At 37.4% G+C, this 13798-nt stretch overlaps 1 protein-coding gene across 21 annotated transcripts in view; it reads left to right on the top strand.

Moving 5' to 3' along the window:
- CPVL (carboxypeptidase vitellogenic like) overlaps nt 1–13798 on the top strand; it is a 200816-nt gene that overhangs the window by 131937 nt on the left and 55081 nt on the right. The gene's annotated exons all lie outside the window — the stretch shown is intronic.

Raw genomic sequence — 13798 nt, 5'->3', positions numbered from 1 at the left:
CACACACCACTTCTCATCCTTTCTTGAGAAAGGAAGAGTTGCAGAGCCAAAAAGATGACTGGCCGTGTGTAAGAGCCAGATTTCTCTTATGTGTTGCTTTGTTACATGAATCCCAATGACGTCAGGGATAAATGAAATCAACTGGTTATTCTGAAAATGCATTTTGCCTAATGGTTGTATTCATTCACTTTACCCAATCACAGTGTTTTGAGTCTCTCCTTAGGGTGTGAGGTTGAAATGATGAATGAGAAAGGGTCCCTGTTTGGAAGTAGGTCAAGTCAAGCCATTGTGCTGTCTGGTTGAAATGCTCTGCCTTTGCTGCCAGTGGAGGTGCCAGTGGAGAGTGAGGTCACAGAAAAGGAGCCCTGGAGGTTCAGGCAAAGAAGACATGGGCCCTGGAACTCCCACTGGGAAGGAGGACACCAAGAGCAAATGACATGGGGAAAGTCAGCCTGTGTATTATTTCTTTCCTGGTACTACGCTCTCAGCTCCTCCTCTGGTCCTCCAGTGCTGTTAGCCTTTGCCCAAGGGATCGTCTCTAGGGCAACTCCGAAGGATGCCTGTACTGATGACTGGGGAGACCACCACTGAGTGATCCACTTCCTCCCTATATCCTGTTTTGAATGAACAAAAAACAGGGCAGTCGGCAGCCCATAGGATTTTTGTATGAATTAGAATAAAGGCATCCTCTCCTCAAGATACTTTATTTCGATCTTTCAGAAATTGTCCTGATATACTGCCTTAGTTAAAACCAGACTCTTTACTGCCATTTGCTGGCATGCTGAATATTCATTTCTACAATGTGTATATTAGGAATGGTGTGTCTTAGGATTGTTCAGTGCACAATCTGCAATACTATCCAGGCAGTCCCTGGCCAATGCACCCTAACTAGACTGTGGTTTAGAATATGCCAGACCTAGGAGGCCCATTTCTGGGTCCTGCTTCTAGTACAGTGTTGGACACGTAACCATTGTTGAAAATAGTTTAAGACCAATTATATGCCAAGTCTACAAACCCATTATAAACCTGCAAAACTTGATGAAATACTTACTTTCTTGGAAAGAAAGAGTCTAACTAGGTCAGGCCAGCATTTCAGCCATCCTTGTGTTTGGTTTTCTTGGGGACATGTAGTGGCCCTTAGTGCTTGCTGCTTCAAGACTTCTCAGAGGACCTCCAGAAGGCACTGCTGTTTGTCCTCTCCTCTGAGCTCTCAGAACGCGTTGTCTTTACCCCCATAGGTGTACATGGCACACTCTAACGTGCAGACTCTCAGTCTGACACCCATACCACCACCAGCCTGGAGCAGATGTCAGGAATGAATGAATGATTAGTGCTGTATCAAAAATATATCTATAAACCTGTCCATAATCCATTAGGTGCTTATTATCCACAAATTTATTAAACCAAAAAGAGGTTAGCGTTCATGTCTTAAAGATGATGTTCTGTAATGTGATGTTAAGGAATGGAACGAGTGAATTTTTTTGAGAGGAGAGCAGATAAGTTTGATATGTGTTATTTGTGCCCTTGGGAGATATATTTTCTCACTGTACACACTTTTTTTTTTTTTTTTTGAGATAGAGTTTTGCTCTTGTTGCCCAGCTGTAGTGCAATGGTGCGACTGGCTCACTGCAACCTCCACCTCCTGGGTTCAAGCAATTCTCCTGCCTCAGCCTCTCAAGTAGCTGGGATTATAGGCATGTGCCACCATGCCCAGCTAATTTTGTATTTTTAATAGAGATGAGTTTTCTCCGTGTTGGTCAGATTGGTCTCAAACTTCTGACCTCAGGTGATCCGCCCACCTCGGCCTCCCAAAGTGCTAGGATTGCAGGCATGAACCACCGCACCTGGCCTCACTGTACAAATTTAACTAGAATATGATTCCTTTCTCAGCCATGTGAGGGTAAGGTGGGACAAACAGCTTACCTGATGACATAAACTCTCCTTATGTTTTGACTGATAAAGGAGAATATATTGATTAGAGGTGATCCTGCATTTTGATATTTAAACTTCTCTGTCCCTCTTGCCCATGTATCCTAAACTTACCACTATGAATTCCAATAAAATCAAAATCCAGTATTTTCTAAACTTTTCTTTTCTTTTTTGAGACAGAGTTTCACTCTGTTGCTCAGGCTGGAATGCAGTGGCACGATCTCGGCTCACTGCAACCTCCACATCCCGGGTTCAAGTGATTCTCCTGCCTCAGCCTCCTGAGTAGCTGAGATTACAGGCACATGCCACCATGCCTGGCTAATTTTTTTTCCGTATTTTTAGTAGAGACAGGGTTTCACCATGTTGCCCAGGCTGATTTCAAACTCCTGACCTCAGGTGATCCACCCGCCTCGGCCTCCCAAAGTGCTGGGATTACAGGTGTGAGCCACCGTGTCTGGCATAAACTTTTCAACTCTGAATCGGTTGCCAGAAAAAGAAAAGAGTTTAGTGGTATAGATAAACCATATTTCCATAAAGAAACAGAACAAAATATGCCACCAAAAAGTGGCTGCTGCTAAAACAGACAGCATGTTCACTCACGCAGCTGGCAAAGCGCTTGGGATAGTGATTATCTTTGGCTTGTCTGTTAATGATGTTGAACCTCAGTGTTCAGAACGGGAATCAGAACAACCTAGGTTGGCTTAAAACGTTAGTACCATTAAAGTCATATTTATGTAAGACTCGGTACTAATTTGTCATAGAAAATAGCATGCCTGTTTCTATTCATAGGAACTAGAGGTCTTTTTCCAGTACTGGGTTCATTTTGGCCAATGTGGAGCATCTCTGATGGTTGAAGGAAGACCTTCCTGGGTTTCTGGAATTACGTTTTCATGTAGTTTCTGTATAAAAATTAGCTTCTCTGTAAACTACGTTAGTTTCTATGTAAGCTACGTGAAAACATAATCCTTTTCTTACAGTGATATACAGGAGATGCATACTCAAAAGTCATTTTCCTTTCAGTAATTTCAGATGTTTGGGTGGTAAATTGAAATATCATATTGGCAGTTTCAAAAATAACTAGAAAGAGAAACAATCTGTTGGGCTATTTGAATTCTTTATGACTGAATGAAGTCAAAACATGATCAGGACTTTTAGGAGTTAGCTGGTTAATAGAGTATGGTGGTTATGAACATGTTCTTAAGTTGCATATCTTGAGTTTGAGCTCTGGTTACACCAGTCACTGGCTATGCTCCTTTGGGAGAGGAAACTTAAACTCTCTGCGCTTTGGCTTCCTTGTCTATAAAACAGGAATAAAAACAGTATTTATGTGTGAGTTTCTGTGAGGTTTAAATGAGATTATATATGTAAACACACTTAGAAGAGTGCCTGATGGTTAGAAGGTGCTTATTTATATATATATAAGCTATTACCAAAAATGTTCAACAAATTTTGTGAAAGTCTTTAAGATCTTGCTACATTCAAAAGTTATACAAGAAACCCTGGAAAACACAAAAATAAAAAAGAATGGACAGGCTTCCAGTTTCCATTCCAGTGTGTAAGAAGCTTAGAAGTCTCCACTCCATTGTAACAACAGTAAAAAGCCAAACAAACTGAAATATAATCAAGAACTCTTTTTAGATTTGTTGAAACTGAGGTCACAGGGCAAATTGCTGCCCTCCAAAATTAGAGAGAGAGATGAATATAGGGAGTCAAAACTTAACAGGAGCAAACCTGTAAGTAGAACCCTCCATGGAAACAAATGGTGAGGAAGGGAAACCTGAACAGTAATTGGTAAATTACTAGAGGCTCCATAGGGACAAGTCTGAGAGTTTAAAACACCATGGGTGGGGAGAGGACTCAGCCAAAGGTCACTTGTAAATGACCTTTATTATGTTGAGGGACTTTTCTTGTATACCCAGACTGTTGAGTGTTTTTATCAAGAAAGGATGTTGGATTTTGTTGAATACTTTTTGTGTCAATTGAGATGATCATGTGGTTTTGTCTTTCAGTCTGTGATGTGTCACTTTGATTAACGTACCTATGTTAAACCAGTCTTGCATGCTAAGGGTAAATCCCACTTGATCATGCTGTAGAATCTTTTTGGTGTATTGTTGAATTTGGATTGCTAATATTTTATCGATAATTTTTGCATGAATGTCAGAGTTACAGCCTTGCAGTTTTCTTTTTTCTTATGATATCTTTGCCTGGCTTAGGAATCAAGATAATACTTGCCAAAAAATCTATGATTAATATGCTAAGGATTTTAATGGAAAAAGTAGACAACCTGCAAGAACAGATGGATATTGAAAATAGAGATATGGAGATTATAAGAATCAAAAGGAACTGTTAGAGATCAAAAACACTGTAACAGAGATAAAGAATGTCTTTGGTGGGCTCACTAGTAGACTGGACACAGCTGAGCTAAGAGTAGCATGAGGATGTAATAAATAAAAGCTTCCAAAACTGAAAAGTAAAGAGAACAAAGACTTAAAAAAATTTTTTTTGAATAGCCTTAACTGTGGGACAACTACAAAAGATGTAACATACACATAAAGGGAATACCAGAACAAGAAGAAAGAGAAGGAAATGGAAGCAATATTTAAAGCAATAATGATTGCAAACTTTCCCAGATTAATGTAAAACATCAAAGCACAGATTCCAGAAGCTCAGAAAACATGGAGTCAGATAAATGCCAAAACAAAATAATCAAGAAAAGGAGGCAAGTCATATGGAAGCTTCAAAAAAATCAAAGATAAAGAAAAAAAGTCTCAAAAGAAGCCAAAGGGGAGAAAAACCTTACCTATAGAGAAGCAAAGGTAAGAATTACATCTAGGTTCTCCTCAGAAATCATGCCAACAAGAAGAGCATGGAGTGAAATATTTAAAGTGTTGAGAGAATAAAACCCACCAACTTAGAATTCTGCACCTTGCAAAAGTATTCCTCAAAAGTGAAAGAGAAATAAAGACTTTCTCAGACAAACAAAAATTGAGGGAATTTGTTGCTAGTAGACCTGCTTTGTAAGAAATGTTAAAGTAAGTTTTCAAAGAGAAGATAAGTGATATAGGTCAGAAACTCACATCTATATAAAGAGAAGAAGAGCATTGGATAATGATTAAATGAAGATGACATAATTATTTATGTAGAAAATCCAGAAGAATCAACAAAAAAGCCTCTTGGAATTAATAAGTGATTAATCATAACAAGGTTGCAGGATATAAGGTTAATATAGAAAAGTTAATCACTTTCCTATGTACTCCCAATAAACAAGTGAAATTTGAAATTAAAACACAGGACTATTTACATTAGCACCCTTCAAAAATGAAATACTTAGATATAAATACAACAAAATATGTATAAGATCTATATTAGGAAAACTGCAAAACTCTGATAAAAGACATCAAGAACAACTAATAGTTGGAGAAATATTTTGTGTACATGGATATGAAGACTCAATATTGTCAAGATGTCAGTTCTTCCCAACTTGATCCATAGATTCAATACAATCCCAATCAAAATCTCAGTAACATTTTGTAGATAAGGATAAATTGTTCTAAAGTTTCTAAGGAGAGGCAAAAGACACAGAATAACCAACACAACATTGAACAAGAGGAATAAAGTCAGAAGATTGACATTACCCAACTTCAAGACTTACCATAAAGCTACAATAATTAAGATATTATTTATTGTAATAATTAAGTATGGCATTGGCAAAAGAATAGGCAAATAGGTTGATGGACTAGAATAGAGAGCCCAGAAATATACCCACATAAATATAGTCAACCGATCTTTGATAAAGGAGCAAAGGTTATACAATGTAGCAAAGATAGTCTTTACAACAAATGGTGCAGGAACAAATGGATATATCCACATACAAAACAAAATAATGAAATAGACACAGATCTTACACCCCTCACAAAAATGTTCTCTGAATGGATTGTAGACCTAAAGGTAAAACATAAAACTATAACACTTGTAGGCATTAACTTAGGAGAAAATCTAAATGACCTTGGGTATGGTGTTGATGTTTCAGATACAATGCTAAAGGAACAATCCATGAAAGAAATAATTGAGAAGCTGGACATCATTAAAATTAATAACTTCTACTTTACCAAAAACAATGTCAAGTAAATGAGAAGATAAGCCACAGAGTGGGAGAAAATATTTGCAAAAGACACATCCGATAATGGACTGTTAACCAAAATATATTTTTAAAAACCCTTATAGCTCAACAATAAGAAAATGAACAACCCAATTTAGAAATGGGAAAAAGACCTGGGCACCTCACCAGTGAAAATATACAGATGGTAAGTAAACATATGAAAAGATGTTGGCTGGTTGCCAGTGGCTCATGTCTATAATCCCAGCACTCCAGGAGGCCAAGGCGAGAGGATCACCCAGGAGTTTGAAACCAGCTTGGACAACATAGAGAGACCCTGTCTCTACAAAATAAAAATAATTAATTAATTTATTAGCTGGATGTGGTGGTGTGCACCTGTAGTCATGGCTACCTGAGAGGCTGAGGTGGGAGGATCACTCGACCCCAAGAGTTCAAGGTTGCAGCAAGTCATGACTGTGCCACCGTACTCTAGCCTAGGCAACAGAGTGAGACCCTGTCTCAAAAAAAAAAAAAAAAAAAGAAAAGGAAAAGATGTTCAACATCATATGTCATTAGGGTATTACAAATTAAAGCCATGAGATACCACTTCCAGACCTATTGGAATAGCCAAAATCCAAAATACTGACAACACTAAATGCTTACAAGGATGTGGAGCAATAGGAACTCTCATTCTGGTGGGAATGCAAAATGATACAGCCACCTTGGAAGACAGTTTGAAAATTTCTTACAAAATTTAATATACTCTTACCATACCATTCAGCAGTCATTCTCTTTGGTATTTACCCAAATGAACTGTAAGCTTGTGTCCACACAAAAATCTGTACAGGGCTATTTATAACAGCTTTATTCATAATTGCCAAAACTTGGAAACAACCAAGATATTCTTCAGTAGGTGAATGAATAAACTAGTCCAGACAATGAAATTTTATTCAGTGCTAAAAAAAACGAGCTATCAAGCCATGAAAAGACATGTAGAAAACTTAAATGCATATTTCTGAGTGAAAGAAGCCAATCTGAAAAGGCTACGTACTGTATGATCCCAACTATGTGACATTCTCTAAAAGGCAAAACTATGGAGACTGAAAAGATCAGTGGTTGCCAGGAGTTGGGGGAGGGAGGGATCAATAGGCAGAGCACAGAGGATTTTTAGGGCAATGAAACTATTCTGTGTGATACTTCAATGGTGGATACAAGATGTTATGCATTTGTCAAAACCCATGGACCGCATAACACCAACAGTGAGTTCTAATGTGAACTGTGGACTTTAGGTGATTTGATGATGTTTCAGTGTAGCTTTGTTAGTGTAACAAATACATCGCTGTGGTGAGGGATATTGATAGTGGAGGAGGTTGTATGGGAGAGGGCATAAGGGGTGCATGGGAACTCTGTACTTTACACTCAATTTTGCTATGAACCTAAAACTGCTCTGAAACACAAAATTTACTAATTTATTAATTTACCTTTTTTTAAGTTAATTGTCTTCCTAGTAAAGGGGATAGATGCTAGTATATTTGATAATGGGTAGATTCAATTCCTACATCCAGCAGACTGGTAAAGTAGACTCTGTGAAGGAAAATACAACTAAAATACAATTGAATTCAGGATAAATGACAACAAACATAATTGTAATGCCTTTAATAAAATGAAAGTGGATCTGAAAACAAAAACAACACCAGAAAAACAAAAGGCAGAGAAGGGAATTCTGTGGAGCAAGAGCAATAAGGCAGGGTGGCCCTGAGAACCAGTGTCCTCAGTGCTGGGCTGGCAGCTGGCAGCTGGGCTGTGGGCCCAAGTAAAGTGACACTGCTGACCTGAGAGCCCAGCACCAGGGCTGGGACATGTGGAGGGCCCAAACTGGTCCCACAGTGCTAGGAACTCTGGCAACTAGCAGAAGCAAATACACTTAACTTAGTGGTAGGGCCGGGCACGGTGGCTCATGCCTGTAATCTCAGTGCTTTGGGAGGCTGAGGTGGGCACATGACCTGAGGTCAGGAGTTCAAGACCAGCCTGGCCAACATGGTGAAACCCCATCTCTACTAAAAAAGTAAAAAATTAGCCAGGTATGGTGGCGGGCGCCTGTAATCCCAGCTACTTGGGAGGCTGAAGCAGAAGAATTGCTTGAACCTAGGAAGCAGAGGTTGCAGTGAGCCGAGATTGCACCACTGCACTCCAGTTTGGGTGACAGAGTGAGACTCCCTCTCAAAATAAATAAATAAATAAATGAAAAGAAAATAGAGGTGTTTACAGTCTCTCAGATTTTTCAAAAATATAAAGCCATTTTCAACAAAAATGTAAGCTTGTAATCAAAAGTCACCTAACACAAAAGTAAACAGGCTACAGCCTGTGAATAAACAGAAACAAATATAAGAGAGAAAGATAGCCAAGGCACTTTCAGATATAGGACATATGAGAGATAAAACAACTATGTATGAAATATTTGAAGGCATAAAAATGGAGTTACAAAACAAGCAATAAATGAGAAACTAATAAATATGGCTAGGCAAATTTGAAAGAGAACAAATTGTAATCATTAAAAATGAATGATACAGTTGTTGAATTTAAAACTCAGTGCATGGGTTAAAGAGTAGATTAGACAGTGCTGAAGATAAATTTAATGAATCAGAAGATAGATCTGAAGAAATTACCAAAATGGAACACAGGAAGAAAAGATAAAAAGTTTGAAGGGAGATTAAGAGGCATTAAGAAGAGAATACTATATGTCTAAGCAGAGTCAGAGAGGGTAAGAACAGAAAGAATGAAAAAAAGCCATTTTTAAGAAACAGTGGCTGAAAATTTGCCATATCTGATAAAGGTTATGAATGCACAGACACATGTACTGAAGCACATATACAATAAGCAGTGGGAGAGAGAAAATAAATTCATATTTTAGGTGGTTTTAATGAAATTGAATAATAGCAAAAAGCAAAGAGAATGTTTTAAAAGTCAGAAGGAAAAGGCAGGCCATCTACAAAAGGAGGACAATCAGACTGACAGACTTGTCAGTGACAGCAATGGAAGGCATAATATCTTCAAAGTGCTAAAATGAGATAACAATCTAGAACTACATTTCAAGTAAAATGGTAGAATAAAAGTATTTTCAGATTTAACAAAAAAATTATTTCAAGTGCATTTAGAATCAACAGATTTTCACTAAAGGAGCTTCTAAAGAATATATTTAGGAAAAATAAATTACTCCAGAATTATTCCAGGAAGAAAATCTGAGCTACAAGAAGAAATACTAACTATAGAAATTGATAGAAATAATATTTTATCAATGTTAATGTTCTGGTTTTGATCATTGTACAATGGTTGTGTAAAATGTTAACATTTGTTAAGGCTATGTAAAGGGTATACTATTTATTTAACAGATTTTGTTTGTTTTGTTTTGTTTTGTTTTGTGACAGGATCTTGCTCTATTACCTAGGCTGGAGTACAGTGGTGTGGTCATATCTTACTGTCTCAAACTCCTAGGCTCAAGCTCTCCTCCAGCCTCAGTCCCCCAAGTAGCTGGGACTATAGGCATGTGCTGGCTAATGTTGGCTTTTCTTTTTCTTTTTTCTTTCTTTTTTTTTTTTTTTTGTACAAACAGAGTTTTGTTCTATTGCCCAGGCTGGTGTCAAACTCCTGGCCTCAAGCAATCCTCCCACCTCAGCCTTCCAAAGTGCTGGGATTACAGGTGTGAGCCATTGCAGCCAGCCTCTGTAGCAGATTGACTGAGATATAATTTACATACCACAGAATTCACTCATTTCAAATGTACAAGTTAGTGGTTTTTGCAACTGCAATTTTCTCTGCAGCCATCACCACTATCTAATTTCTGAACATCTTCATCACATCTGAAAGAAAAAAGAAAAAATCCCCTATTCATTAGCAATGATTTCCACTTCCTCTTCCAGCCCCTGGCAACCACTAATCTACTTTCTGTCTGTATGGATTTGCCTATTTTGGATATTTCTTATAAATGAAATTGTGCAGTATATGGCCTTTTGTGACTGTTTCTTTCACTTTGTATGTTTTCAGGGTTCATACATGTTATAGCATGTTCATTCTTTTTACTGCAAAATAATATTCCTATGTATGGTTATACCACATTCTATTCATCCATTCATCTATTGATGGACATTTGGCATGTTTCCACTTTGTGATTATTGTGAAAAATGTTGCTATGAATATTCATGTACAGTGTTGGTGTGAACATATGTTTTCCATTCTCTTGGGTAGATAGATACCTAAGAGTGGAATTACTGGGTCATATGTTAACTCTATATTTAACATTTTGAAGTTCCAGTTTCTCCACATCCTTGTCAGCACTTGTTATTGTCTGACATTTTGATTCTAGCCATCCTAGTGATTTAAAGTGCTATCTCATTGGGCTTTGATTGGCATTTCCCTAATGATGAACGATGAACATCTTTCTATGTGATTTTTATTTTTCATTTTTATGTTTTTTGGAGAAATGTGTATCCAAATACTTTGCCTATTAATTGGGTTGCTAATTAATTGGGTTATTTGTTTTTTATTATTGAGGTGTTAAGAGTTTTTTTGTTTGTTTGTTTGTTTGAGATGGAGACTTGCTCTGTCGCCCAGGCTGCAGTGCAGTGGCATGATCCTGGCTCACTGCAACCTCCACCTCCCGGGTTCAAGCAATTCTCCTGCCTCAGCCTCCTGAATAGCTGGGATTACAGGTGCATGTCACCACACCTGGCTAATTTTTTATATTTTTAGTAGAGACAGGGTTTCACCGTGTGAGCCAGGATGGTCTGGATGTCCTGACCTCATGATCCGCCCGCCTCGACCTCCCAAAGTGCTGGGATTACAGGCGTGAGCCACCGTGCCCAGCCTGAGAGTTCTTTATACATTCTGAATACAAGTCCCTTATCAGATATGATTTTTTTTCCTATTCTCTGGGTTGTCTTTTTATTTTCTTGATGTTGCCCATCAAAGTCCAAAAGTTTTAATTTTGATAAAATCCAATTTGTGTTTTCTTTCATCATTTATGCTTTTGGTTTGGTTTTTTTTTTTTTTTTTGGAACTGAATCTTCATTTCATTTTAGTCAAGTTAAAAATAGGTTTAAAAACTAATACTCGAGTTGGTTATTGGAAAACATCCAAGTATTCACAATTTGGGTGTGTGAATCTACTTTTTTTTTTCTGTCTCTATTTTATAAAAATTTTTTTCCCCATAGGTTATTGGGGTACAGTTAGTATTTGGTTACATGAGTAAGTTCTTTAGTGGTGATTTGTGAGATTTTGGTGCACCCATCACCCAAGCAGTACACAACACACCCTGTTTGTAGTATTTTATCCCTTACCACCCTCCCATCTTCCCCCAAAGTCCACTGTATCATTCTTATGCCTTTGCGTCCTCATAGCTTAGTTCCCACACATCAGTGAGAACATATGATGTCTGATTTTCCGTTCCTGAGTTACTTCGCTTGATAGTCTCCAATCTCATCCAGGTCACTGCAAATGCCGTTAATTCATTCCTTTTTATGGTTGAGTAGTATTCATATATATATATTCATATATATATTTGGAATATATATATGTGGAATATATATATATATTTATATTTATATATACCACAGTTTCTTTATCCACTCGTTGGTTGATGGGCATTTGGGTTGGTTTTGGTTCCACGGATTTTGCAGTTGCGAGTTGTGCTGCTATAAACCTGTGTGCAAGTATCTTTTTCATATAATGACTTCTTTTCCTCTGGACAGATACCCAGTAGTGGGATTGCTGATCAAATGGTAGTTCTACTTTTAGTTCTTTAGGAAACCACACTGTTTTCCATAGTGGCTATACTAGTTTACATTCCCACCAACAGTGTAGAAGTGTTCCCTGATCACTGCATCCACGCTAACATCTACTGTTTTTTGATTTTTTGATTATGGCCATCCTTGCAGGAGTGAGGTGGTATCGCATGGTGGTTTTAATTTGCATTTCCATAATCATTAGTGATGTTGAGCGTTTTTTCATATATTTGTTGGCCATTTGTATATCTTCTTTTGAGAATTGTCTATTCATGTCCTTAGCCCACTTTTTGATGGGATTGTTTGTTTTTTACTTACTGATTTGTTTGTTGTAGATTCTGGATATTAGTCCTTTGTCAGATGTATAGATTGTGAAGATTTTCTCCCACTCTGTGGGTTGTCTGTTTACTCTGCAGACTGTTCCTTTTGCCGTGCAAAAGCTCTTTTGTTTAATTAAGTCCCAGCTATTAATCTTTGTTTTTATTGCATTTGCTTTTGGGTTCTTGGTCACTAAATCTTGCCTAAGCCAATGTCTAGAAGGGTTTTTCCAATGTTACCTTCTAGAATTTTTATAGTTTCAGGTTTTAGATTTAAGTCCTTAATCAATCTTGAGTTGATTTTTATATAAGGTGAGAGATGAGGATCCAGTTTCATTCTCCTGCATGTGGCTAGCCAATTATCCCAGCACCATTTGTTGAAAAGGGTGTCCTTTCCCCACTTTATGTTTTTATTTGCTTTGTCAAAGATCAATTGGCTGTTAGTATTTGGATTTGTTTCTGGGTTCTCTATTCTGTTCCATCAGTCTATGTGCCTATTTTTATACCAGTACCACGCTGTTTTGGTGACTGTGGCCTTATAGTATAGTTTGAAATCAGGTAGTGTGATGCCTCCAGATTTGTTTTTTTTTTTTGCTTAGTCTCACTTTGGCTTTGTGGGCTTTTTCTGTTGTTGTTCCATATGAATTTTAGAATTGGCTTTTCGAATTCTGTGAAGAATGATGGTGGTATTTTGATGAGGATTGCATTGAATTTGTAGATTGTTTTTGGCAATATGGTCATTTTCACAATGTTGATTCTACCCATCCATAAGTATGGGATGTGTTTCTATTTGTCTTGTTTATTTGTATTTATGATTTCTTTCAGCAGTGTTTTGTAGTTTTCCTTAACATTTTGAAGAACTGCCAAAGTGTTTATTGCAAAGTATCTGGGCCATTTTACAATTCCACCAAAATGGATGAGTTCCAATTTCTCCAGGTCTTTTGCCTCCTTGGTTAGGTGTATTCCTAAGTATTTTATTTTTTTTTTTTGCAGCTATCGTAAAAGGGGTTGAGTTCTTGATTTGATTCTCTTGTTGGTCACTGCGTATAGAAGAGCTACTGATTTGTGTACATTAATCTTGTATCCAGAAGCTTTGTCGAATTATTTTATCAGTTCTAGGAGCTTTCTGGAGGGGTCTTCAGTGTTTTCAAGGTAAACTATCATAACATCAGCAAACAGTGACAGTTTGACTTCCTCTTTACTGATTTGGATGCCCTTTATTTCTTTCTCTTGTCTGATTGATCTGGCTAGGACTTCCAGTACTATGTTGAAGAGGAGTGGTGAGAATGGGCATCCTTGTCTTGTTCCAGTTCTCAGAGGGAATGTTTTCAACTTTTCCCTATTCAGTATTATGTTGGCTGTTGGCTTTTATTACATTGAGGTATGTCCCTTGTATGCCAATTTTGCTGAGAGTTTTAATCATAAAGGGATGCTGGATTTGTTGAATGCTTTTTCTGCATCTGTTGAGATGATCATGTGATTTTTGTTTTTAATTCTGTTTATGTGGTGTATCACATTTATTGATTTGTGTATGTTAAACCATCCCTGCATCCCTGGTATGAAACCCACTTGATCACATGATGGATTATCTTTTTGATATGTTGTTGGATTCAGTTACCTAGTATTTTGTTAAGGATTTTAGTGTCTATGTTCATCAGGTATATCAGTCTGTAGTTTTC

This window comes from Homo sapiens, chromosome 7, assembly GCF_000001405.40.
Source record: "Homo sapiens chromosome 7, GRCh38.p14 Primary Assembly".
Classification (NCBI taxonomy): Eukaryota; Metazoa; Chordata; class Mammalia; order Primates; family Hominidae; genus Homo; species Homo sapiens.
This window is presented reverse-complemented; position numbering and strand designations above follow the sequence as displayed.